The 26,067-nt window shown below is 41.4% G+C and overlaps 2 protein-coding genes and 1 non-coding gene across 9 annotated transcripts in view, besides 1 other annotated feature; 1 reads left to right on the forward strand and 2 right to left on the reverse strand.

Moving 5' to 3' along the window:
* The window catches only part of GNS (glucosamine (N-acetyl)-6-sulfatase), a 45,958-nt gene extending 27,595 nt beyond the window's left edge, over positions 1-18,363 (reverse strand). Inside the window, exons 1-6 of the mRNA NM_002076.4 lie at positions 18,042-18,363; positions 11,655-11,714; positions 6,669-6,875; positions 4,616-4,681; positions 3,766-3,864; positions 2,098-2,265 (exon numbers count right to left, since the gene is read on the reverse strand). Coding sequence (NP_002067.1) covers positions 2,098-2,265; positions 3,766-3,864; positions 4,616-4,681; positions 6,669-6,875; positions 11,655-11,714; positions 18,042-18,233 — 792 coding nt within the window. The 5' untranslated portion in view covers positions 18,234-18,363. The remainder of the gene's footprint in view (positions 1-2,097; positions 2,266-3,765; positions 3,865-4,615; positions 4,682-6,668; positions 6,876-11,654; positions 11,715-18,041) is intronic.
* Positions 16,909-17,789: an enhancer, noted in NCBI's record as "H3K27ac-H3K4me1 hESC enhancer chr12:65151732-65152612 (GRCh37/hg19 assembly coordinates)". NCBI's record gives its function as "activates a minimal SCP1, AML or CMV promoter by ChIP-STARR-seq in naive H9 embryonic stem cells {active_cell/tissue: H9 hESC(naive)}" and the evidence as "EXISTENCE:reporter gene assay evidence [ECO:0000049][PMID:30033119]".
* Positions 18,441-26,067, forward strand: part of TBC1D30 (TBC1 domain family member 30) — a 121,550-nt gene continuing 113,923 nt past the window's right edge. For all 7 annotated transcript variants that reach the window (XM_047428595.1, XM_047428596.1, XM_024448903.2 and 4 more), the window contains exon 1: positions 18,441-18,606. The gene's annotated coding sequence lies outside the window, so the exon portion shown is untranslated. The remainder of the gene's footprint in view (positions 18,607-26,067) is intronic.
* Positions 19,825-19,930, reverse strand: LOC124903113 (small nucleolar RNA U13). The gene has a single exon (XR_007063648.1). It is a non-coding gene; the product is annotated as a small nucleolar RNA U13 (small nucleolar RNA).

Below are 26,067 nucleotides of genomic sequence, written 5' to 3' on the forward strand. Positions count from 1 at the left end.
AATTAGAAAATGGGCAAATAGGGCGTAGTGGCGGGCGCCTGTAGTCCCAGCTACTTGGGAGGCTGAGGCAGGAGAATGGCGTGAACCCGGGAGGCGGAGCTTGCAGTGAGCCGAGATCCCGCCACTGCACTCCAGCCTGGGCGACAGAGCGAGACTCCGTCTCAAAAAAAAAAAAAAAAAAGAAAATGGGCAAATAACTTTACCTTCCTCTAAGTTGCTTTTTTTGAGACAGAGGCGGAGGTTGCATTGAGCCGAGATCGCACTACTACACTCCAGCCCAAGCCCAAGCTGGAGTACAGTGGCACGATCTCGGCTCACTGCAACCTGTGCCTCCCGGGTTCATGCGATTTTCATGCCTCAGCCACCTGAGTAGCTGGGATTACAGGCGTGCACCAACATGCCTGTCTAATTTTTGTATTTTCAGTAGAGATGGGGTTTCATCATGTTCGCCAGGCTGGTCTTGAACTCCTGGCCTCAGGTGATCCTCTTGCCTTAGCCTCCCAAAGTGCTGGGATTACAAGCATAAGCCACCATACCTGGTCTACCTTCCTCTAAGTTTTGCCTAGCCAAGATATCGGTCACCCTAGATCCTAAGGAAAAATCTTATTACAGCAATTTCCTAAAACTTCAAGTCTAAATCTGGAGGGCCCTCCCATTTAAACAAAGACATCCCTATATACTATTCTCTCTTCTCTATTCGTAAAACCCTAAGCCACCAGATCTCAAACTATGCTCCTCAAAGTGTTATTAAGTTTGAGAAATGCTGTATAGCATATTCTCCTGCTAGAAATTCACATTCGATCATGAATAACTCTGAGAAGTCCTGTAGCAGAGTGACTTATTTAACTCAAACTTTCCAAACTTACTTGACCATGGGAACTTTTTATTAACTTCTTTTGGAACACAGATTGAGAATCGTCCTATTTTACTATTTTTTAATTTATTTTATTTTATTTTATCTTATCTTGTCTCATCTCATCTTATTTTATTTTATTTTGATGGAATCTTGCACTGTTTCCCAGGCTGGAGTGCAGTGGTGCGATCTCGGCTCACGGCAAGCTCCGCCTCCCGGGTTCACGCCATTCTCCTGCCTCAGCCTCCCGAGTAGCTGGGAGTACAGGTGTCCACCACCACGCCCGGCTAATTTTTTGTACTTTTAGTAGAGATGGGGTTTCACTGTGTTAGCCAGGATGGTCTCAATCTCCTGACCTCGTGATTCGCCCGCCTTGGCCTCCCAAAGTGCTGGGATTACAGGCATGAGCCACTGCGCCCGGCCAGTACTCTAATTTAAAACACAGTTCACTCAGCTTTGAAACTGTATTTAACAAGCACATGCCTATAATGTGCCAGACAATATGCTAATTGTTTCTATGTACTTGAATTCATACAGTAGTTCCATGAGGGATCAAGAACTCCCACTTCACATGAAAAAATGAAGTTAAGCATCGTGCTCATAGTCTGTACTGAGCTAGAAAGTGGTAGTACTGAGTTTGACTTTATGACTCATTCTTTCTATAACCTTACAAGCAATTACAATTTCTGGATAACAAACCTGAGGCAATGCAGGCCTTCTGTCTTTGAACCAGGGAACTGTCTATACACCAAGCCAAGGGAAGTATAAGTAATTGGCACGTGAGGCAAATACATGGGTTGTTGTGGTTCTTAATCATGTCACCTCGTTCATTTTTCCATTCAACTTCCCTTTCCAACCATATTGCTCTGTGCCACCCCTTCTTCCCATGCCTCAAAGGCTAGTGAGGGCCACCAGGAGGCTGGTGCAGTCCCGGCTATGCCAGGAGGGAGGAGAGTCAGCACAGAGGTTACCAGGAGAGCCTGAGTGATATTCCTGTAAATTGGGAAAGATGGCATTCTTTACCATTCCCTGTCAACTCTCCAGCTGCTCACTGGATGTGTAGCAGGAACTTTATCTGTACTTGCAATGCAAGTTTATACTATTGGTTGTACTAGGGACAGATGCAATTACCTTTAAAATATTGTGAAGAAAAACCCACTACATGGCTCAAAGGCTTCCTGACAAGTATACCATATAGTTAATGATACTTAGTATGGCTGAATACAAGTGGTGGGGGAAGCTACCGTTCCATGGATGTTGAAGTTCTTGTTTCTTGGTGCAAAGACATTCTGGAAAGCCTTCTGGTACTGAGGTGCAGCTGTCCAAGGCGAATGAGGCGCTGGAGTGGCGATCATCATGAAGAAGGGCTCAAAGTTGGACTTGTAGTCCAGAAAGTCCAAGGAGACATTAGCCTGACACATAAAAAGATTTGTCATCTCCTACCTTACCCAACAGATGAGTATTTAATAGATAAATGTCTTCTGGTGAGCAGACAGTACAGGGTCTTACTAGCTTTTAAGCAATCTTAGCACATGATCTTATGTCATAGCCATTTGCAAGCATATTGTTGGAACAAATATATTTGTTTTTTAGGCAATACTTTAAAAACTGAGAAGCATACCAACATAAGAAGGCAATTAAGATCTTGATGACTTTTTATGACCTAGAAATCATGTCTCCCACAAAGAAGGAAACAGTAACTTGGATATTTTACTATTAACTTACACTAATGGAGATTATGGTATCTACATGTGATGCCTTAAAGAATGTAAAAAGACAGTCAACTTAAAACAGTGGGAAAGGTAGATTAAGTTACCTTAACCTTATGAAAATATGTAGAAAGTAGATGTCATAAATTATGCACTGAAGTAGCTAAGTGAATAATATTAGATTCAAATACATTCCACTAGGGTTTTAATACATGGACTTAAGTTTTGCCTTTGCTTATCAGGAGATACTTTATGAAAATGAAAGCATGCTACATACATGTTGTTTTTCATTGTTCTGAAGTAGTTTCATGTATTCCCAACACTAACTCAACAGATACTGACTGTATCTATCTCCTATAATCCCTCCATCCACCTTTCACTCCAGTCCTGTCAGCTTCCTTGTGGTTTCTCAAATATGCCAGGTATACTCCTGCCTCAGGGCCCTCCTACTTACTATTCCCTGACTCTGTAGCACTCTTCCCCCTGATCTGCACAGCTCATTCTCACCTACTTCAGGTTTCTGCTTAAATGTTATCTAAGTAACCTCATACCCTAACTTATTTCTCGAACTGATCACCAGCTAATGATGCAACACGTAAGACTGTGTGTGTTTGTGTGTGTAAATAAAATTAACTTCCACAGAATCAGGGACTTTGCTTCATTTACTGTTGAACACTGGCTACACTAGGTGCTCAACTATTGAGTGAATATATAATACTATTGAAGACTGTCATTAGAAACGCCTCAGAATAGGAAAGTCCCAATTTCACCTGCTTTCAGTAATTTTTATATGTAAATACCCAATGCCCAAATAAATCCAGTATCCCTATCTCTCCATCCTCATAATGGGGCCTGTGAAGCTGACATCTTGTAGCTTGTGAGTAAAACCGGGGTCAAGAGTAGGTACACTTACAAAGTAAAACCTCTACAAAGTAATCTCTGTAGTCGAAGAGATTAACCTTTGGAAAAGGGATTTGTTGCTGGAATTTCAAGAGCATTAGATCTGAGCCTGGCTTATACACAAAGAAAACACCCTGAGGAGTTTGTAATCAGCTGGAAATACTCTTGGGCAGTTAGACCAAGTTACTGTGCATTTATATTACCCAACACAAACGAATAAGATTATAGGTTTTCTAGGCAGAGTCTTCAATCAAATGTGAGCCAACCCTGTAAGGACAGAGCTACAAAGCTTCTGCAACTCACCAAAACATCTGTCAGGTAGTCCACACTATAGTTTTCACCATGCTTCCGTGCCTTCCCATTGATAGACAGGGTGTAATTATAATACTTAGAATTCTTTTCCTATTAAAAAGAGGAAAGTCAAATTTGTTATGAGGTCAGTGCACAAAGTGGAAGTCTGAATCCGTGCTGGGCTAAACTCTACTCTGAGCAGTGATAAGACATTAAAAAGATAATTACTCAAGTCAATACTGAATTGGATTTTTTGACTAGGGTTTTATTAAAGACAAGCATAGTTTCAATTATGCATTCTAGTTTAAAAGCCAGAAGTAGATCAGGTAGAAAAGCAAACTACTTTGCTAAACCTTGTACAATGCAGGAAAAACATCCCAGAAAGGAGTGACTCACAAGTCAATAGACTTTTTTTTTTTTTTTTTTTTTTTTTTTTTTAAAGAGACAGAGTCTCTCTTTGTTGCCCAGACTGGAATGCAGTGGCACAATCACAGCTCACTGCAGCCTCAAATTCCTGGGCTCAAGTGATCTTCTTACCTCAGCCTCCCGAGTAGCTGGGACTACAGGCACACGCCACCACACCCAGCTAATTTTAAAATTTTTTGTTGAAATGGGGTCTCGCCATTTTGCCCAGGCTGGTCTCGAACTCCTGAACTCAAGAGATCCTCCTGTCTCTGCCTCCCAAAGTGTTGGGATTCTAGGCGTGAGCCACTACACCTGGCCACAAGTCAATAAATTTTAAGGTTTTTAAAATGACTAATTGTAAAAGCAAATAAAGTTATGTCAATATCAGAGCTAAATTAAACATATTCTGCATCTGTAGGGCTGCATAAAATTGTCACAGACTTCAATAATCACTCACCAAGGCATACCAGTAACTCCAACCCAGAGGAACGTGTTCTAGTCCACCTGCATCTGGGGCTCCGTACTGAAAAGCAAAACAAGTAGGGACAATTACAAGTCCTTAGATATGACCAGACCAGAAAGAAACAGGAAATTTTACAATCTTTTTAGACCAGTGCCTGAAACATAGTAGGTACCTAATTTCCCCAAATAGACACTAGTCAAAAATAAACGCTAATAATCCTAGGAACTTCTAAAGCAGGAGTTGGCAAACTACAGCCAGTGAGCCAAATCTGGCCTGATGACTTTTGTATGAACAGCAAGCTAAGAATTTAACAATTTTAAAATATAAAAGTTAATCAAAATAAGAATATTTTGTGAAATGTGACAATTACATAAAATTCAAATTTTAACAGCGATAAAGAGTTTTATTGGAACACAGCCACATTCATTTACATAGTGCAGTGTCTGTGGCTGCTTTCACGCTACAGTGGCAGAGCTGAATAGTAGCAACAGAGACATATGGCCTGCAAGGCCTGAAATGTTTACTATCTGACCCACTACAGAAAAAGTCCACACAGCCTACCCCACACAGCCTATTCATGGGGTGAATGCTGAGCTGCTGATACCATAGACTGAATAGTCCAACTGACCCTAAGCAGTTCAAATAATCAGACTATAAGCTATTGACTTATTATAAGTTGAACATCCCAAATCTGAAAATCCAAAACTTTTTGAGTGCCAACACGACACTCAAAGGAAATGTTCACTGGAGCACTTCAGATTTTCAGATTTGGACTGTTCAACCAGTAAGTATCATGCAAATATTTCAAAATCCAAAAAATCTGAAACGCAAAATACTTCTGCTCCCAAGCATTTTGGATAAGGGATAATCTGTATTTCAGTTGCCCTGCAGATGAAACCCACTTTTAGAGCTCGATTTATCTGATGAGATGAATAAAATAAAGAAACCACAGAATTATCCCACTTTATCCTTACAAGGTTTAATGCCATCCACTTAAGGCAGAATTTAATCCCTGAAAACAAAATCTTTATACTTTAACGATCTCTCTTAATTTTATATACACATCAGATGACCTTCAAATATGCAAAGTAGTGTAAGCTCTCTTTATGACCCATAGCCCCAACCAAATGATCCAGTATCCACAGTTCCTATTTCTCATGATCCTTTTCAAACTGACTCATCTTCCTGTAAACTCACAAGGTTGCAGATTTCCCCAATTATTGGGGGGAGGGGAGAATTAACAGAAAATCCAGATCAGATATTAAGATCTCTAGCAACTACAGATAAAGAGCATAAGTACATTTTCTCTGTCTTGAACCCCCACTTTAACTGTAAGAGCTAACCCCAAACATTCTCGAACATACTATTTCCTTTAAGCTTGGACTTTGGGTAAAAGCTAAGGCCAATGTGTGAATGTGGGCACATGGAATCCAGCCTTGACAGGTCACCACGAGGTATCCCTCCATCCAGGTCTACAAGGCTGGTGTACCAGCTGCTGGCCATACACTTTAATGACCTGCACGACCCTGACTCTGGGTAACTAATCTCTGCACATTTTGTTGCCATGTTTCACATCAGAAAATGAATTAAGCATTAAGTTGTTATAATTCAGAAAAGATTCTAAGAAATCTGAGGAAAGATTCTAAGACGAAAAATATCTTCAGTTAGATACTGATAACAAGGAATGGAAACAAAGATACCATGACAGCCACATGACAAACAGAATTCCTGAGGAAAAAGGGAAGACGCATCAGACAGCAGCACTCTTAGGACAATTTTTAAATACATGCTCCTGGGACTACTGAAAGGAAGAACAAGTGCCCATATCATATAAATACACAAGTTCTTACCCAAATCATGTAAATATGTACATGTGTACTTATATGAACATATTTACATGATATGGGTACTTGTTTAATGGGCAGATTCACAGAAAACAACGTATACCAAGAAATCCTTTAACATTAATTGAAATAATAAAATTAACATGAATTATATTCACATTTTAAAAGCCATTATAAAAAAAGAAACAGATCATTCAACATACCTCATTTAAATATTTCCCTGCAAAAAAGGTCTGATAACCACACATTGATCTGAGAATTGCTGGGAAAGTATTTGGTTCTTGGATCTTCTGCCAGGACTTACTACTGCAGTTCCCCTCCAGAGTGTTGTTCACAACGTGATGATTATGTGGGTACTTTCCTGTCAGGATACTGGCTCTGCTGGGGCAGCAGAGAGCACTTGGCACATACTACAAAGGAAAGGAAGCAAAAACGACAAAGTCACACAAGAAAGATGGACTTCTCATCATTGTTAAAGAGAGTAAAGAAAAGCTCCTTAATACTCTAACTTCAAATATGTAGTTTCTCATGGAATATATATATTTTTTTCTACACATGACATGCTTCAGGGCTGCTTTAAATCATAGTGGAGACATTAAAGCAGACAGAACAAACTGAGAACGGATTTCTTTCTCAAGTGGCTTCTTTCTGCAGGATAACAGTAATTCTAGTCTCATCTGCCGCAGAGATAGTTGTTTTTTTTTTTCTTTTGAGGCGAGCTCTCACTCTGTCACCCAGACTGGAGTGCACTGGCACAAGCACAGCTCACTGCAGCCTCGACCTCCTGGCGCAAGTGATCCTCCCACCTCAGCCTCCCTAACAGCTTGGAGTACAGGTGTGTGCCACCATCCTGGCTTTTTTTTTTTTCATTTTTTTATTTGTAGAGATAACGTTCTTCCTGTGTTGTCCAGACTTGCCTCAAATTCCTGGATTCAAGTGATCCTTCCACCTTGGCCTCCCAAAGTGCTGGGATTACAGGTGTGAGCCACTGCACCCAGCCAGAAATAATATTTATACACAGGGGGCACAGCATGGTGAGAGACGGGTCTTAACCAAAGACAAAGAATACTACTTGGATCTAATTGAGACACAGTGGTTCATTTGCAGGCTGATCTGCAGCTTTACACATTTCCTATATCATTTTATACACTGGACACAGACTTTTTTTCCCTACTGTAATTATATTTCCATTAGCTACTGTCAGCAACAGATTTTCCCCATTCTACCCAATCATATTGGTACACATCACCAAGCCACTTCACAGAAAGGTAATACTAGCTTATACTTGGACCAGCAGGGAAGGAATACTAGCTTATACTTGGACCAGCAGGGAAGGAATGGGCATTTGAGCACACACTCATGCAAAAATTGGGTATTATCCTTTCAATATTAGCAAGTTTTTTTGCCTTTCAAATTTGATTTGGCATTTTTATTTTTATTTATTTTTTTGAGATGGAGTCTCGCTGTGTCACGCAGGCTGGAGTGCAGTGGCGCGATCTTGGCTCACTGCAAGCTCCGCCTCCCGGGTTCACACCATTCTCTTGCCTCAGCCTCCCAAGTAGCTGGGACTACAGGCACCCGCCACCATGCCTGGCTAATTTTTTGTATTTTTAGTAGAGATGGGGTTTCACCGTGTTAGCCAGAATGGTCTCGATCTCCTGACCTCATGATCCACCTGCCTCGGCCTCCCAAAGTGCTGGGATTACAGGCGTGAGCCACTGTGCCCGGCCTTGATTTGGCTTTTTTTTTTTTTTTTTTTTTTGAGACACATTCTCGCTCTATTGCCCAGGCTGGAGTGCAGTGGCGCGATCTCAGCTCACTGCAAGCTCCGCCTCCTGGGTTCACGCCATTCTCCTGCCTCAGCCTCCCAAGTAGCTGGGACTACAGGTGCCCGCCACCACGCCCGGCTAATTTTTTGTAGTTTTAGTAGAGATGGGGTTTCACAGTGTTAGCCAGGATGGTCTCGATCTCTTGACCTCGTGATCCACCCGCCTTGGCCTCCCAAAGTGCTGGGATTATAGGCGTGAGCCACCGTGTCTAGCCGATTTGACATTTTTAAAAAATGGTGAGGAGGAACATTCTCCACATGTACTAACTGACTGTGTTTATGTGAACGGTTTGTTCATATGCTTTGCTCATTTTTTTCCCCCAGGGCTGTCGGCCTCTTGTTACATAAGATTTAAGTTAAGGAAGAATTCAGTCATGTTACAAATACTTCCCATTTTTACTTTTGCCTTTTATTAGATGTTTGACTTCTTAAGTTTAAATTGGCAACTCTTAACTCTTTCTCTTTTTGTTTTCTGATCAATTTTATGGCCAGTACACAGTTTATCTTAATATTACATTTTAGCATCTGGTAGAGCAATTTTTTTTTTTTTTTTTTTTGAGACAGGGTCTTACTCTGTCACCGAGGATGGAGTACAGTGGTGCGATCTCAGCTCACTGCAACCTCCGCAACCTCAGGGTTAAGCAATCCTCCCACCCCAACTTCCCAAAGTAGATGGGACCACAGACGTGCACCACCATGCCTCTGTTTTTGTTGCTGTTGTTGGTTTGAGATGGAGTTTCGCTCTTGTCACCCAGGCTGGAGTGCAGTGGCACAGTCTTGGCTCACTGCAACCTCTACCTCCTGGGTTCAAGCAATTCTAATGCCTCAGCCTCCCAAGTAGCTGGGCTCATAGGCGCTCGCCACCACGCCCGGCTAATTTTTTGTATTTTTGGTAGAGATGGGGTTTCACCATGTTGGGTAGGCTGGTCTCGAACTCCTGACCTCAGGTGATCTGTCCACCTCAGCCTCCCAAAGTGCTGAGATTACAGGTGTGAGCCACCATGCCTGGCCCAATGCCCAGGTATTTTTAAGTATTTTTAGTAGATATAGGCTCTTGCCATATTGCCCAGGCTGGTCTCAAACTCCTGAGCTCAAGCAATCCACCTGCCTCAGCCTCCTAACATGCTGGGATTACAGCATGAGCCACTGTAATTTTTTAAAAAAATTACTTTGATTATTCTCATCTATTTATTATTCCAGATAACTTTTGGAATCACTTGAGTCTCAAATAATCTTGTTAGGATTACAACTAGAATAAACATTTTATTACATAATATTGTGTCTTAGCTGAGCACAGTGGCTCACACCTGTAATCCCAGCTATTTGGGAAGCTAAAGCAGAGGATCACTTGAGGCCAGGAGTTTGAGACCAGCCTGAGCAACAGAGTGAGACCCTGTCACTAAAAAAAAGTGGAAAAAAATTGGCCAAGTGTGGTGATGCATGCCTGTAGTCCGAGTTACTTGGGAAGCTGAGGCGGGAGGATCATCTGAGCCCAGGAGTTTGAGTTCAAGTCTTCAGTGAGCTACGTCACTGCACTCCAACATGGGCGGTAGAGTGAGACCCTGTCTCAAAAAAGAAAAAAAAGAAAGAAATGTATATAAAATGATGTGCATATCTACGTATCAAATATTTTTTATCTTACCACTCGCATCATTTTGTAAAATACATAGGTCATAGCCATTTCTGGCCCCAACCAGTTACTCTTAGAGAGTTTATAAATTATGAATGAGGCTGGGCATGGTGGCTCACACCTGTAATCCTAGCACTTTGGGAGACTGAGATGGAAGGATCACTTGAGCTCAGGAGTTCCAGACCAGCCCGGGCTACATAGTGAGTGAGACCTTTTCTCTGTCTTTATATAGAATAAAAAGAAATAATTATGAATGAGATATTTTGTCTCCCGCCTTCTATTTTTCTAACTGATTACATGGAAGAAAGTTATTAATTTTTATTTTTTCATTTTTATCTTGCTGAATTCTAGTGATTTTAAAGGGTTTTCAATAATTCTCCTGTGTTTCTTAGATAGAAAATCCAAACAAGCAGAAATAATTTTTCCAATATTTTTACCTCTTATTTCCATAAGACTTATGGCTATGACTAGACAGTCGGAACAACATTAAATGGAGCACTGTTTCATCCCTAACAGCAATGCCCTGAGTCTTTTACCTTATGTATTTGAAATAGGCATCATAGTCAGGATGTATTCTTATGATAGCTTATTACCAGGAAAGAATGCTAAAATTTCAGAGTACTTTCTCGTATCTATTGGGAAGAACATTCAATTTTCCTTCTTTCACTTACTTGTATCATGTTGGTAGACATATAATAACCAACATCATGTAGTATTTACTATAAGAAGTCAGGCATTGGCTGGGTGCGGTAGTTCATGCCTGTAATCCCAGCACTTTGGGAGGCCGAGGCGGGCAGATCACTTGAGGTCAGGAGTTCAAGACCAGCCTGGCTAACATGGTGAAACCCCATCTCTACTGAAAATACAAAAAATTAGCAGGGCATGGTGGTGGGTGCCTGTAATCTCAGCTACCCAGAAGGCTGAGGCAGGAGAACTGCTTGATCCCCAGAGGCCGAGGTTGCAGTGAGTCGAGATTGCGCCACTCAAAAAAAAAAAAAAAAAAAGAAGAAAGAAAAGAAAAAATAAGTCAGGCACTGATAGAAGTGCTCTACACCTATTAACTCAACCTCACAACAACTCTGAAGAAGATTTTGGTACTCCCTTTTATAAATGGGGAGGAAGAGGGCCAGAGAGGTTAAATAGTTTGTCCAAGGTCACACTGCTAGAAAAGAGGCAGAGAGGGTGTTCCAGACTAGGCAGTCTGGCTCCAGAGTCTGAGCACTTAAACATAACACTATGCTACTGTTCAAGGGATTCCCTGATAGTAGGCTACCCTTACATTCCTAGACTACCATTCACTTGGTTATGTACATGGTTCTTGAAAATGAATTGCTAATACTTTATTTTGAATTTCTGCATCTATATTTATGGGGTGTGTGTGTTGCTATTTGTCAGTTTTGGCTATTAGGGTTAATTGGGTTTTTACCAAGGAAAAGTTTACACAGCATACATATTCCTTGATTTTTTATAATCCATTTTCAAACCTCAAATGGTAAGGTTTAAAATAAAATTCTCTAGTTCTGAGACTGGCTTAGAAATATCTGCAATTAATCTTCAATTGATAAGAGGTAATATTTCAATTAAAATTCACATTAAATAAATCCTTCCTTCAGATCAGGCATTTAACAAGGAAAAAACCACATAGATCATACCAGATTCCCGAGAAGAGAGTATCTTCTTAGAATACAAACACAGTTAAATTAACAAAATTGAATTAACTTTCAAACTTACAGCACTGGAAAAAGTCATCCCCATCTCTCCGATGAGAGCTTTGGTTTTCTTTAGCGGTGTCTGTAAAAGTAAGTAATTATCCATTAAACAATTTCTTCCAATAAATTGAGACACACAGCCCAGAATTCCTGTTTTGTTACATCTTACTCAATCTTTTATTCCCAAATGGTCAGCTCTAAGCAACAGCCAAAGAGAGTCTTGTATGATTCTAGAGACAAGTTTGGTTCCGGCCAGCTCCATCCTGTATAAAAGTGCAGGAAGTCAAAATGCTTGCAGGAAGGGAAAGTTCAGTTGATGGCAATAACATCTTTGTGCCCTTATTAGTCATCAGCGCCCAGATAAGGCAGATAGGGCAGACCTATCTCCATGAATTAATCTTTAGAAGTAGGATGTGGGAAATGATATAAAGGGAGCCTTCCGCCCTATAGAACAGAAGTAAGACAACAGTTGGATTCTGAAAGCCAGACAAGGCCCCAGGACTCCGAGACTGATTCAAACCTCACACACTCAGTGGTGGAGGCCAGACACACACTGTTCAACTACCAACTACTGTTGTCTGCATAGACCCACAAGCACCTCAGGATAAGGACTTGAACCAGGTGGCAAGCAGGTGTACACAGAACACTGTCAGGCAAAAGGCTACTCAGAAACTATTTTATGTCCTGCTTTTCATCTTTTGTTCAAAATCTAAGATCCTTACAAGTACAGAGAACAATTAACTTCCTTCTAGAATGAGGACAAAAGTATGAAGACAGTCATTTAAATACGAATAAAAGGAACACTAATATTCTTCAGATTCCAGACAGCAAAAAGCACCATTGAAGAGGTCATTTTAGTTGTAATATGGGTCAGTTCACGATGATTCTGAGATACCTTTGAAACCTAAGACCATATTGAATGCAGTTTTAAGTATATTTTGTTGTGCAATAATTCCTTAAAGATTGCTAATCTAAATACATAAGTAGGTTAACAGGAGCCTCATTTTCAATAATGTATAAATGACTTTTCCCCATTGTTTTATATAAATACAAAACCTACGGAATCCATAAACTCAAAAGGATGAGGATTCTAACTTATCCAAAAAAAGCTCTGATAATTTCATGAGTAGATCCAGAAGAGGCTGCCAAGAGACGCTAGAGAAGCAGAAGATCTTCGCCAGCCTTCCGAAGCAAGGTCGTCAGCCATACTCTCCTCAAAGCATCACTGGGTACCATCCTCAGGAAAAGAATACTGGGCTTCATGAGACATTGGTTTGATAAAACACCTGAGTTACTGTGAGGACATTTGAAGGTGAAATGAGGATTCAAAGAGTAAGTGGAGAAAAGGACCAGAGTTGACTGTATGGGACTTAATTGTCAAACTGTCTGATAAATATGTAAAATTATGAAAGAATATCTGATTTACAGTAAGACTGTGTAATAACATTTATTAAACACAACACGTGCCAGGCATTAATCTAGGCAGTGGTGGACAGAGGATAGATGGTCCTCGCCCTCATGATCTCTGCACTCTTGGGGACTTAAAACAACTAACAGGTAAACAATCAGTCATTTCAGGTGGTGGTAAGTGCTATGAAGAGAATAAACCAGGATGATGTGATTACAGCTGGTGGGAAGAAAGGGGAACTACTTTAGATGGGTGGTCAGAAAAGGCCTCTCAGGAGGTAACTTCAGTACGGAGAGCCATGCGATGAGGAGTCAGTCATGCAAAAATTCAGAAGATGTTTCAGGCTGGGTATATAGCAAGTACAAGGGCTGCCAGAGGAAGGAGAGAGGCACCTGGGAGGAAACAGAGAAGCCAGTGTGGTGATGGAAGCAGCTTAGGGAGGAAAAGGGAGAGTGAGGTAAGATGAGGTCAGAGAGGCAGGCAGGAGTCAGTGATGCAGGGCCACATAGGAATTTAGACTTTAGGCCCGGTGCAGTGGCTCACACCTGTTATCCCAGCACTTTAGAAGGCAGAGGCAGGAGGACTGCTTGAGGCCAGGAGTTTGAGACCAGTCTGGGCAACACAGCAAGACCCTGGCTCTACAAAAAATATAAAAATTAGCTGGGCATGGTAGTGCATGCCCGTAGTCCCAGCTACTTAAGAGGCTGAGGTGGGAGGATTGTTTGTGCCCAGAAGTTCGAGGCTGCAGTGAGCTATGACTGCACCACTGCAATCTAGCCTAGGCAAGAAGAGTGAGAACTTGTCTCCAAAAAAAAAAAAAAGAAGTTTTTATTAACTGCCATCTTTATACTGCTAACTATAGTACAAAAGACAACCATAATCCGTGCTTAATTGAAAAAGTCCCAAACAAGAAACCACACTACTCAAAATGTGTCATGTGTCTCTATGCTAATTAGAATGTAAAATGAATCCTTAAGATCGAAGCAAAGACAGTGGCTGGTCAAGTTAAGGCCATGCAACAGTCTTTAAGCAGCAGCCAACTTCATGCCTTCATGTGGGCAAACATGTTACTCTACTCACCCCAAGCAGAACCCTTTTCATTAAAACCCTAAAGAATCATTTACTTTCCTGGTTCCATGCACAGTTGCTCTGAAACGACAATTCTGATAATTCTGTGGCTAACAATGGAAATTGTTTTGCTTTCAGTGAAGCAATGACATATTTATTCTCACACCTGTAATCCCACCCCTTTGGGAGGCTGAAGTGGGCGGATCACTTGAGGTCAAGAGTTCAAGATCAGCCTGGCCAACATGGTGAAATCCCGTCTCTACTAGAAATACAAAAATTAGCCGGGCGTGGTGGTGGGTGCCTGTAAACCCAGCTACTTGGGAGGCTGAGACAGGGGAATCTCTTGAACTCAGGAGAAGGAGGTTGCAGTGGGCCGAGATCGCGCCACTGCACTCCAGCCTGGGTGACAGAGCAAGACTCCAACTCAAAAAAAAAAAAAAAATTATTCTTCCCCTACCTTTCATCATAGTTTCTTCTTTCACTTGCCTGTGGTTTTGGCCAAATGTCACTTTTCTTAGAGTAAATGATTTTTTTTTTTTTTTTTTGAGATGGAGTCTTGCTCTGTCACCCAGGCTAGAGTGCGGTGGCACAATCTCAGCTCACTGCAACCTCCACCTCCTGGGTTCAAGTGATTCTCCCACCTCAGCCTCCCGAGTAGCTGGGACTACAGGCACGCACCACCATGCCCGGCCAATTTTTGTATTTTAGGGTTTCGCCATGCTGGCCAGGCTGGTCCTGAACTCCTGACCTCGTGATCTGTCCACCTCGGCCTCCCAAAGTGCTAGGATTACAGGCGTGAGCCACCGCGCCCGGCCATGAATTATTTTTAAAAGAGCAGCTTATGCTTCTGTGAAGAACAGTGTGTCCACCACACTATAATGATGTTTAAATAAAATCAAGAAAGTGATAAGAACAGTGTCCTGGCAAAATAAAAAATAAAAACAGAGTCCCACAGATACCTGGAACAAATACAATGAAATGTTAAAGACGATGCTACTATATAAAAGAGCATTTCAAAGATGCCTGAAAAATTCCACTATAAATCTAAATCATGTTGTAAATGCTATATACAATCCTTTGACCTGAGTGAGATTGGTGGGGGTTAACCACTATTTATTTTGCCAACTATGGCAGCAATCTGTAATCTTTTTTAGGTTAGAGCTCTTTCCACAAAAATGAAGATATTATACACAAAGTTTTACATGTAAATTAAGGAGTTCCATGATGTCACTGGCATCCCCGAATGTCACCTGCAGACTCTCTGACCTATGGTGTGATTATGCTGGTGTGGGTATGTGGAATGAAATCTGATTATTATCACAGTATTCTAGAATAGGAGAAAAAGCATGGTGATCTGAGGTCATAAGATACCCAGGCTTTGTCCAATATTAGCTATATGAACTTAGTCATGTCACTTAACCACCTTCCAGTTTTAGTTTCCTTTTAAGATAAGGATACTATGTACAGCAGAGGACTCCTGTGATGACTGAAGCACAAGTATAAAAATCCTCATACTCTGCTCGGCTCCAAGTAAGTTCTCAAATGCTCTTGTCCTAGCTCTTCCCCTTGGAGTCCTGTTTGACAATTAGTGGTAGAATATTCTGAAAAAGCCTAGAAGAGAAGCCAGAATTCTTGAGTTTGGAACATTAAGTTTGACTTATGCCCTCCACTCAATTTTGGTACCTCTCTCCAGTAGAAACACTTATTAAAAAAAAGAATCTGGGCCGAGACAGTGGCTCATGCCTGTAATCCCAGCACTTTGGGAGGCTGAGGTCCAGGAGTTCAAGAGTTCAGGAGTTCAAGAGTTACTTGAGTCCAGGAGTTCAAGACCGACTTGGGCAACATGGAGAAATCCTGTCTTTACAAAATATTTAAAAATTAGCTGGACGTAGTGACATGTGCCTGTAGTTCCAGCTACTAGGGAGACTGAGGCAGGAGGACTGCTTGAGACTAGGAGTTCAAGGCTGCAATGAGCCTTGATTGTACCACTGCACTCCAGCCTGGATGACAGAGCAAGACCCTGACTCAAAAAATCTGCTACTGGCTTAACGAAGCAAATTGGATTAACATACTAAAGAGACCTCAAATACACACAGACTACAGCTGTGGTTTATAAGAATTGAAGAAACAACTCTGAATACCTTATATTTAAGTAATCAATTTTGTTTTCAACACCTAAAAAAGCCTGACCTTTTAACTGAGTACTTAAGTCACTGCTAGAGAAGGCTTGCTTTTTCTGGACAAAACACTCTTCAAGGACACATTTTCTTTTTTTTAATAAAAAAGGAATTTTGTGAGCAGACAAGTAAGTGCAGTAGTTGGAAGAGTAGTGAACCTAAAGTGTAGGAGGAAAATTAAATTAAGACCAATGTCAACATGGCTTGGTAGAAACTAACAGACAATGAAGCATATATGGCAGGAAGAAATGTGTAGTCAAAATGCAAGCCTCTTAAAACATCAGCTATAAAAGACTCTCAAGCTCTTGAGCATCAACCTAAGAAATATATTTTACAACTCGGGAAGAAAGAGAGATAGATAATGATTACCTTTATCAAGTGTAACACACACACTCACACACATGGACCTTTTCTATTCTATTCTATTCCAGAGGAAATAAAAAATGTTGGTAGTTACTCACTAAACTGATTTCATAACTCACTCAAGGGTTGGGACCAGAGGTTTGAAGGACACTGAGCTAGGGTGTGTAACTACACAAGAAAAGTTAGGAACGTCTTGCCTGGAGTATTTCATAGTCTCAGCATTCAGCTGAAAGCAAAAAGAGAACTGAAACGAAGAAAGCAATAAAGCATTTGGTTTTAAAGCGAAGAGAGGAATGCTGAACCCAGGGTCAGAGGACTCTGCCTCAACTACTCATGTCTTGGGCAAGTTGCTTTCTGGGCCTCCATGGGGAAGGGGTTGGAGTGGATGTTTCCAAAGGTCACACATTCCATAATTCTGCAATACACAAGCAAAATTTACTCTGGAAAAAAAATGAAGTCTTGTGACAACACCCATTAGATAGAAAATGAAACACTGACAGTCTCTAATGCAACAGTCAGGTGTTCAATCACACTAATTGAATTTTCTTGATTCTTGTGAGGCAACACACACCCTCAATAGTTCGACGGTCGGCCTACCAGATTAGTTCACTTCAGGCCTTTTTTTTTTTTTTTTTTTTTTTTTTTTTTTGGAGACGGAGTCTCGCTCTGTCGCCAGGCTGGAATGCAGTGGCGCGATCTCGGCTCACTGCAACTGCTGCCTCCCGGGTTCAAGCGATTCTCCTTCCTCAGCCTCCCAAGTAGCTGGGACTACAGCTGCGCGCCACCACGCCCAGCTAGAATTATTGTATTTCTAGTAGAGACGGGGTTTCACCATGTTGGCCAGGATGGTCTCGATCTCTTGACCTTCTGATCCGCCCGCCTCGGCCTCCCAAAGTGCTGGGATTACATGAGTGACACACCGCGCCCGGCCCAGGCTTATTTTTATTGACATCAGATACAGACATTGTATACAGGCACAAACGTGGAGGTGGTCTAGGTCCCTCATAAAGGGGACTGGACTTGTCTGTGATCCTCTAATCCAAAAGAAAAACAATCAGGCCTTGAGTGCTCTTAGACAGCACCTGATCCTCATTGGTTCAACCCATCCTCCACTGGTCTCCACATGTTTATCTTGAGATATTAACGTAAACTCCACAGCAGTACGGTCCAGACTAGAAGCTCTGTGTGCTGTACGCATGTGCCTCAATCCAGAAAGGAAAAGAGTATTGCAGTCCCTTACACCGGCATAAAGGGCCTCAGGTGGGAAAACCAAACCTACCCAAGGATAAGACAGCCAGTTCGGGGAGGAGGGTGGTGGGGACCGGGAAAGAGAGCAACAAACCGGGTAGTCAGCCCAAGAGATAGAGGGGCGGGGCAGAAACAGAAGAGTTACCATGCCGCCGAGCACTTCGTCCTGGTCGTCCGTGAGGAGCAGCACCACGTTGGGCCTCCGGGTTCCCGCAGCCACCCCGAAGACCCCCAGGCAGCCGCCCAGCACCAGCAGTAGCAGCGCTGGGCTGCAGGAGGGCAGGTGGCGGGGGCTGCCCCGCCGGAGCCGACCTGGGGCTAGAGGCAGGAGCCGCATAGCGGACAGGCTCCGGGGTGACCCCGGGACGGGACGGGACGGAGGGACGCACAGGTAGCTGAAGGGCGAGAGGCCGACCAGCCGAAGGAATAAAAAGCCGTGCCTTGAAGGCCGGTGGCTGGAGTCAGACGTTTTCTCCCTAGGCGCGATCACGTGAGCCAGGGACAGGGGGCGGAGCACGCTGCGCGGTCACGTGACGGCCGGCGTGGGCGGGGCTGCGGACTGGCGCAGCCTGGAGGGAGGCATCAGGCAGTGGCGGAAAAGGGGCGGAGAACCGGAGAAAAGGGCGGAGAACCGGAGAAAAGGGCGGAGAACCGGAGAAAAGGGCGGAGAACCGGGAAAAGGGCGGAGAACCGGGAAAAGGTCAAGACCTGTACGTACCTCTCGCGCAGGCTCGGGTTGCGTTCTGGTAGGACGTACGTGTTTCTGAGCGCTTGGTGGAAAGATTTAAATGGGGGGAAGAGAAGATGAAAAGCAGGAAAGAGTTGGCAAATACTAACCAACCGATAAAGGAAGAGAAAGGAGGACTGTACATAACAGAAATTATCATCAGCTGGTGAGGAAAGTGGACTCTACCATATTTAATCCCCAAGTCGACGGGCACTTATTCAAGGCCCGGATGTTTAATCGTTTTTAATTTTCTCTACAACTTGTGAGATAAATCTTAACATTCTCATTTGGCTCAGACATTAAATTCGGAACTGGTTAGCTCTCTTAACTCCAAAGCCTAATTATGTTCTTCTTTCCTCAGCAGACATCGTAGTTTCAAACAATTTAGGGATGTCCTGACAGCTTTATCCTAATGGTTATCCTAATGGTCCTTGGTGACTTTTTAAACACCCTCTTGGAACATGTTGGAGGATGTGCAGATCGAACAAAAATCTTGAAACGTGGTCATCCAACTGCATTATTAAGTAATCTTTAGCGGGGAATAGCCCTTGAAACTAGCTCCAGATATTTCTGTGGTCGCTCTGGAATAATTAGACTTTGCCCCTCTCCTCTCACCGCCCACCGTGGGCGCGGTGGCTCACGCTTGTAATCCCAGCACTTTGGGAGGCGGGTGGATCACCTGAGGTCAGGAGTTTTAGACCAGCCTGGCCAACGTGGGGAAACCCCGTCTCTACTAAAATACAAAAATTAGCTGGGCGTGGTGGCAGGCGCCTGTAATCCCAGCTACTCGGGAGGCTGAGGCATGAGAATCGCTTGAACCCGGGAGGCGGAGCTTGCAGTGAGCCACTGCACTCTGGCCTCAGGGACAGAGCGAGACTCTTGTCTCAAAACAAACAAACAAACAAAAAATCACAGAGATATTCCTGGCAAGGTGAACTGTCAAGTCACATCCCCAGACCGATATAACAAGGTATACCTCCTTGCTGGTAAAAGTATTTTCTCTGAGTTGAACTGTTTGCCAAGAAGAGTCTCTTAAAACTCGTGAAAACTATTCCAGAACTTAAAGTATTAAAAAAAAAAACTCGTGAAAACACTATACTATAAGGTAAAAATAATGATGGAAACACGTTGAAACCTGATGTGTACAAGGATAGGGCTTATGCAAAAAAAAAAAAATTACCTTTATTACTTTGTTTTTTTCACACAGAGGGGTAATGCGCGGAGTCCTAACAAGGTTTGAGGTAGGGGTGGTAACTCACACAATAGCATGAAAACCCAATCATCAGGCTTATGAACCACAAAAGGATCTTAATACTTTTTTTTTTTAAGTAAGCCTACAGAAGGCAAAAGAAGCTTTAAAAAAACTGAAGTAGTTTTTCTGCAAGAAACAATTATGCCGGAAGTGTGGTCAGAGCAGTTCCTAGACAACCAGAATACTTGGTTACAGCCTTGGCCTAGGCCAATTTTTCAAGCTGGTTAGAATAACTAATCCTTCTGTATTCAGGTTTCAAGACTTCCAGGAAGACTTTCTTGCACAAAAAAATAACCTATTTCATCTGTATCGAAGCCCCAAATTGTAAAATTGTTTCTTTTCTATTTTTTTCAAGGTTAGATTATAAACTATTTGAGGCCAGAAATTGTGTAATTAGTTGCCCACTTTGTTCAGGATGCTGCTGTCAGAGGCGATTGAACCAGAGCAACTCCATCTTGAAAAGGGGCTGAGTAAAATAAGCCTGAGGCCTGCTATGCTGCATTCCCAGATGGTTATGCATTCTAAGTCACAGGATGAGATAGGAGGTCATAAAGATACAAGATACAAGATGCATGTCATAAAGACCTTACTGATGAAACAGGTAGCAGTAAAGAAGCCGACTAAAACCCACCAAAACCAAGATGGTGATGAAAGTGACCTCTGGTCGTCCTCACTGCTAAATTCCCACCCAGCGCCATGACAGTTTACAAACGCCATGGGAATGTCAGGAAGGTACCCTCTCTGGTCTAAAAAGGGGAGGCATGAATAATCCATCCCTTGTTTAGCATATCATCAAGAAATAACCATAAAAATGGGCAACGAGTAGCCCTCGGGCTGCTCTGCCTATGGAGTAGCCATTCTTTTATTCCTCTACTTTCTTAATAAACTTTCTTTCACTTTACTCTATGGTCTTGTCCTGAATTCTTCCTTGCTCGAGATCCAAGAACCCTTTCTTGATGTCTGGATCAGGACCCCTTTCCGGTAACACTGCTACACTAGTGCTGAAGAGACATTGTCCCTCGTTCATGGAATTTGCAGTCTAATGGCAGAGAGATGGACAATCTAATCTTGTATCTTGTATATGATTACAAATAGACATGCTATGAAGGAAAAGTAAAGGGTGCAATGAGCATTTAAGGTGGTGGGAGGCTGATTTAGTCTAAGGTGCCCTGAGGAAGTGATCTTTGAGTGAAATCTGAAGTTTGAGTAGGAGATAATTTGTTAATGGAGTATTGGGGTGGTGGAATGTCTCCTAAGCACAGAGTACAGCATATGCAAAGGTTCTGAGCTGGTGCATTGCAATAACTAAAAGAAGCCAGTGTGGTTAGAGCAGAGGGAGAGAGGTGGTGAGGACCCAGATCCTATTTTAAGGACTTGGGTTTTTATAGTAAGGCTAATTGGAAATTACTGAAAGAATGTAAGATAAATATAATCATACATGAACTTTTAGAAGATCCTTTAGACTGTGGCATGAAGAACAGATTGGAAGAGGACAAGCATGGGTGAGGGTAGACCAATTAGGTAGAGAGAAAAGTGGATAACAGGGACAGATTCAAATTTTGTGGGGCCTGAAGTTTATGTGCATTTGGCGAGTGGAGGCTCCTTAAGAAAAAGAATAACAATTTTAGATACAAAAGTAGGTACACAACTGAATATGTATTTAGACTAAAACAAAATATAACGTTATAAATTTTTAAAAGTTGAAAAATATTACAAATAATGCAAAAATTTAACGTAACATATTTTTATTAAGTAACTGCCAGGCATACTTCTTCATACTTTTTTCCCCTTACATTATATGGCTATGTGCTCTTTAATCATCTCTTCATATGATGTTAGTTTATAATATTTTCTAAAGAAAATAGAAAGATAATTTAGTTTTTTCTCTAGTGTGTTTGATCAGTATTTGCCTTTTATTGGTGATAATTCAGAAAAATTATTTTTCACCTCAGTTCATTATTGGTTTTATATATATGTTTAGTATTTTTGTCAAATTTCAGAAAACTCTATCAAATATCCTCTTAACATAGGCATTTCGTGACATTCTGCATTTTATTTTGTATTATTTTATTTTTTGAGATGGAGTCTTGATCTGTCTGCGCTCTTGGCTCACTGCAACCTCCACGTCCCAGGTTCAAGCAATTCTCCTGCCTCAGCCTCCTGAGTAGCTGGGATTACAGGCATGCGTCACTATGCCCGGCTAATTTTTGTATTTTTAGTAGAGATGGGGTTTCGCCATGTTGGCCAGGCTGGTCTCGAACTCCTGACTTCAGGTGATCTACCCGCCTCAGCCTCCCAAAGTGCTGGGATTATAGGCGTGAGTTTTATGTTATCTTCCTCAATGCTAGTGTGAGATCAAATCGAAAGAAATTTGAATATTTTTCAATGAGTTTATATAATTCACAAGTTGTCAATTTAATAGCCTATTTATTACTTTCATTTGCAGTTTATCTCTTCCTCTTTCCAGCTTTATTGAGATATAATTGACAACAAAATTATGTGTATTTAAGGTGTACAACATGATGTTTTCATATACGTATAGAGTGTGAAATGATTATTCTCTTCCTCTTAATGAATTACTGTTTTTCTTATGATTTAAACTTTTTTTGGTTACTCTTTACTTCTTAATGTCAGGATAATTTCTCTTTACTTTCTCATTCATCTTTATCACTTTGGTTTTGTATCCTATTAATTTTTTTTTTTTTTTTTGAGACAGAGTCTTGCTCTGTCACCAGGCTAGAGTGCAGTGGCATGATCTCGGCTCACTACAACCTCCACCTCTCAGGTTCAAGCGATTCTCCTGCCTCAGCCTCCCAAGTAGCTGGGATTACAGGTGTACACCACCACATCCAGCTAATTTTTGTATTTTTAGTAGAGACAGTGTTTCACCATATTGGTCTGGTCTCGAACTCCTGACCTCAGGCTGGTCTTGAACTCCTGACCTCAGGTGATCCACCCACCTTGGCCTCCCAAGGTGCTGGGATTACAGGCGTGAGCCACCATGCCCAGCCTAGCCAAGCTGTTTTTTAAAGAGCATGCAGCCCTTTTTCCTAATCATTATAATAGCTGTGTTAACAGATGACTGATTATAAATGCTGTTTAACCACAGGTTAAAATAACAATCTTGTTTTACTTTGTTGAATAATGTCTCAGATGTTTTCAGTTGGCTAAAAATATTTAAAAATTGCTCATAGGTTTTCCTGTTAGAAAGTAGTGCCCAATAATTGCCAACTCATCAGTGGTTGTCATATCCAGAATAGAATACATAATAGTATTTGGTGTTTGGTTATGTGTTTGACTTACCACTTTTTAAACATTTTTTTCATTATTTCAATTTTTTCCATAAATTGTTTTAGTAAAATAAGTTGTGTTTTCATTTTGACATGTTTTTCCAAGAGCTTAAGCAAAAATGCATCCAATTCAGCTATTAGTTGAAAAATTCCTGTGGAATTTTCATTATAGGAACAATAGTACTTTTCATCATGACCTCTGAAGTGTAACTTTCACTTAACGTTTAATAACCTCAAAACTTCCATCTCTGGCCACGATGGAGTAACAGTGCCAGACTAATTCTCTTGCTAAAAACAACTAGAAAACAGGGCAATATAGATGCCTTTATACAAGTGACAATAGTGAAGGACTGTGATCCACATGTAAAGAGAAACAAACAATTGCTCCAACTTTTTGCCTGGTGGAGGGACATTCTGAACCAGAGAGCAGGAAATAGGATCTCATGCTTGACAAAGTTGACTTGCTAACTTTGGGTGGACAGAGATCAAAGTTGAGGGAGATTGAGGCAGCTGGAAGTTTGCAGGGAAGAATTCCAAAGAGAAGGGTGCTGTATAGATTTAAAAGCTCCATAAGTTTGTACAGATGTCTTTCTGAAACTTTGCTGAACACTGAGATGTGCATTCACAGGGTGAAACACCACCAGAAGGCAAGGCAAAGAATGACCAAGGTAATGTAAAACAAATAATTCTCAGAGGGGTTGGGATGTTTGAGATCCAGCCAGCCATAGGGGAAAGTCCTCCTTGATCATCAGGAGCACTCCTTAGGAACCTGGAAAGGTCGTGCCCTAATAGTGGAGCTAAACTATCATGAGTAAAAAGTACTGTGCACCCACAGAAACAAAGCTTGGGTACAGCCCTCAAAAGATCAAACTAATCTGCAAGGAAAGTAACTTGCTTTCCAGAATAAGGCTCAACACTCTTTCAGGGAAGACTACGAAACCTAGATATTCAACAATATGAAATTCACAATGTCCTGCGTTGAATAAGAAAATTACTACACAGGGCCGGGCATCGTGGCTCACGCCTGTAATCCCAGCACTTTGGGAGGCCGAGGCGGATCATGAGGTCAGGAGATCAAGACCATCCTGGCTAACACAGTGAAACCCCATCTCTACTAAAAAATACAAAAAATTAGCTGGGCATGGTGGCGGGTGCCTGTAGTCCCAGCTACTCAGGAGGATTAGGCAGGAGAATGGCGTGAACCCGGGAGGTGGAGGTTGAAGTGAGCCGAGATTGCGCCACTACACTCCAGTAGCCTGGGCGACAGAGCAAGACTGTCTCCAAAAAAAAAAAAAAAAAAAAAAAAAAAAAATTACTATATAGGCTCCCAAACAGGAAAATGTGACCCCATGACCAGAAGAAAAAATTGTCAATAGAAACAGATAATAAATGACAGGGATGAAGAAGTTAATAGATTAATGTGTTAAAACTCCTATTATAACTTGTTCAAGTATTTAAAGGAAAACATGAGCCAACTGAGAAGAGAGGTGGAAGATATATAACTGGGCCAGGCACAGTGGCACACACTTGTAATCCCAGCACTTTGGGAGGCCTAGGTGGGCAGATGGCTTGAGCCCAGGAGTTTGAGACCAGCCTGGGCGACTTGACAAAACCCCACCTCTACAAAAAAAAAAAAAAAATACAATACACAAAATTAGCTGGGCTTGGTGGTATGCTCCTGTAGTCCCAGCTACTCAGGAGGCTGAGATGGGAGGATCACTTGAGCCGGGGAGGTCCAGGCTGCAGTGAGCCATGATTGTGCCACTGCATTCCAGCCTGGGTGACAGAGGGATACCCTGTCTCAAAAATAAATAAATACAAATAGAATCTATAACTGAATAGCACTATATCTGAAAATTCACTACATGGATTAAGAGATGATTAAACAATATGGGGGGGAGATAAGTCAACTTGAAGGTATAGCAAGAGAAAAATACCCAAAATAAAGCAAAGAGAGAAAAAAACGAAAATAAAAATGAGCAGGGCCCTTGTGACCTGTGAAACAAAATCATGGGGTCTACTATTTACATAACTGGAATTCCAGAAGGAAGAAATAATTTTTCGAAGAAATAATAGTTGCTGTCTGCATATAGAGAAAACTCTGATCTCAGATTCAAGAAATTCAGTGAACCCCATGCAGAAAAAACATAAAGAAAATCATACTGAGAAACATCACAATCAAAATTCTGGAAACTAGTAATAAAGAAAAGTAGACTTTATGACAAAAATATTATTAGAGATAAAAACAGGGCATTTTATAATGATAAAAGGTTCAATCCATCAGGAAGATATAACAATTATAAATATATATGGACCTAACAAAGTACCAAAATTCTTGAAGTAAAAACTGATAGAAATAAAGGAAAAAATGGACAACTCGATAATAGTTGGAAACTTCAATACTCCACTTTCAATAATGGATAGAGTAGCTAGGCAGAAGATGAACAAGGACATAGAAGACTTGAATAACATTATAAAATAGGTAGACCTAACAGAGATCTACAGAACTCTCCACCCAACAAGAGCAGAATCTATACTCTTCTCAAGTGCCTGTGGAATATTCTCCAGGATAGACCATGTACTAGGCCATAAAACAAACCTCGATAAATCTAAAAGGGTAGAAATAATACAAGTATGTTCTCTCACCACAGTGAAATAAAATTAGAACATAAGATTCCCAGAGAAATTTGGGTAGCTCACAAATATTTGGAAATGAAACAACATACTCCTAAATAATCAGTGGATTAAAACAGAAATCAAAAGGGAAATTAGAAAATACTTTGAGATGAATGAATATGAATACACAGCATACTAAAACTTGGGATACAACTAACATAGAGCTTGAAGAGTAATTTGTGGCTGTAAATGCCTATATTTAAAAAAAGAATGATCTCATATCATT

Source organism: Homo sapiens, chromosome 12, assembly GCF_000001405.40.
Source record: "Homo sapiens chromosome 12, GRCh38.p14 Primary Assembly".
Classification (NCBI taxonomy): Eukaryota; Metazoa; Chordata; class Mammalia; order Primates; family Hominidae; genus Homo; species Homo sapiens.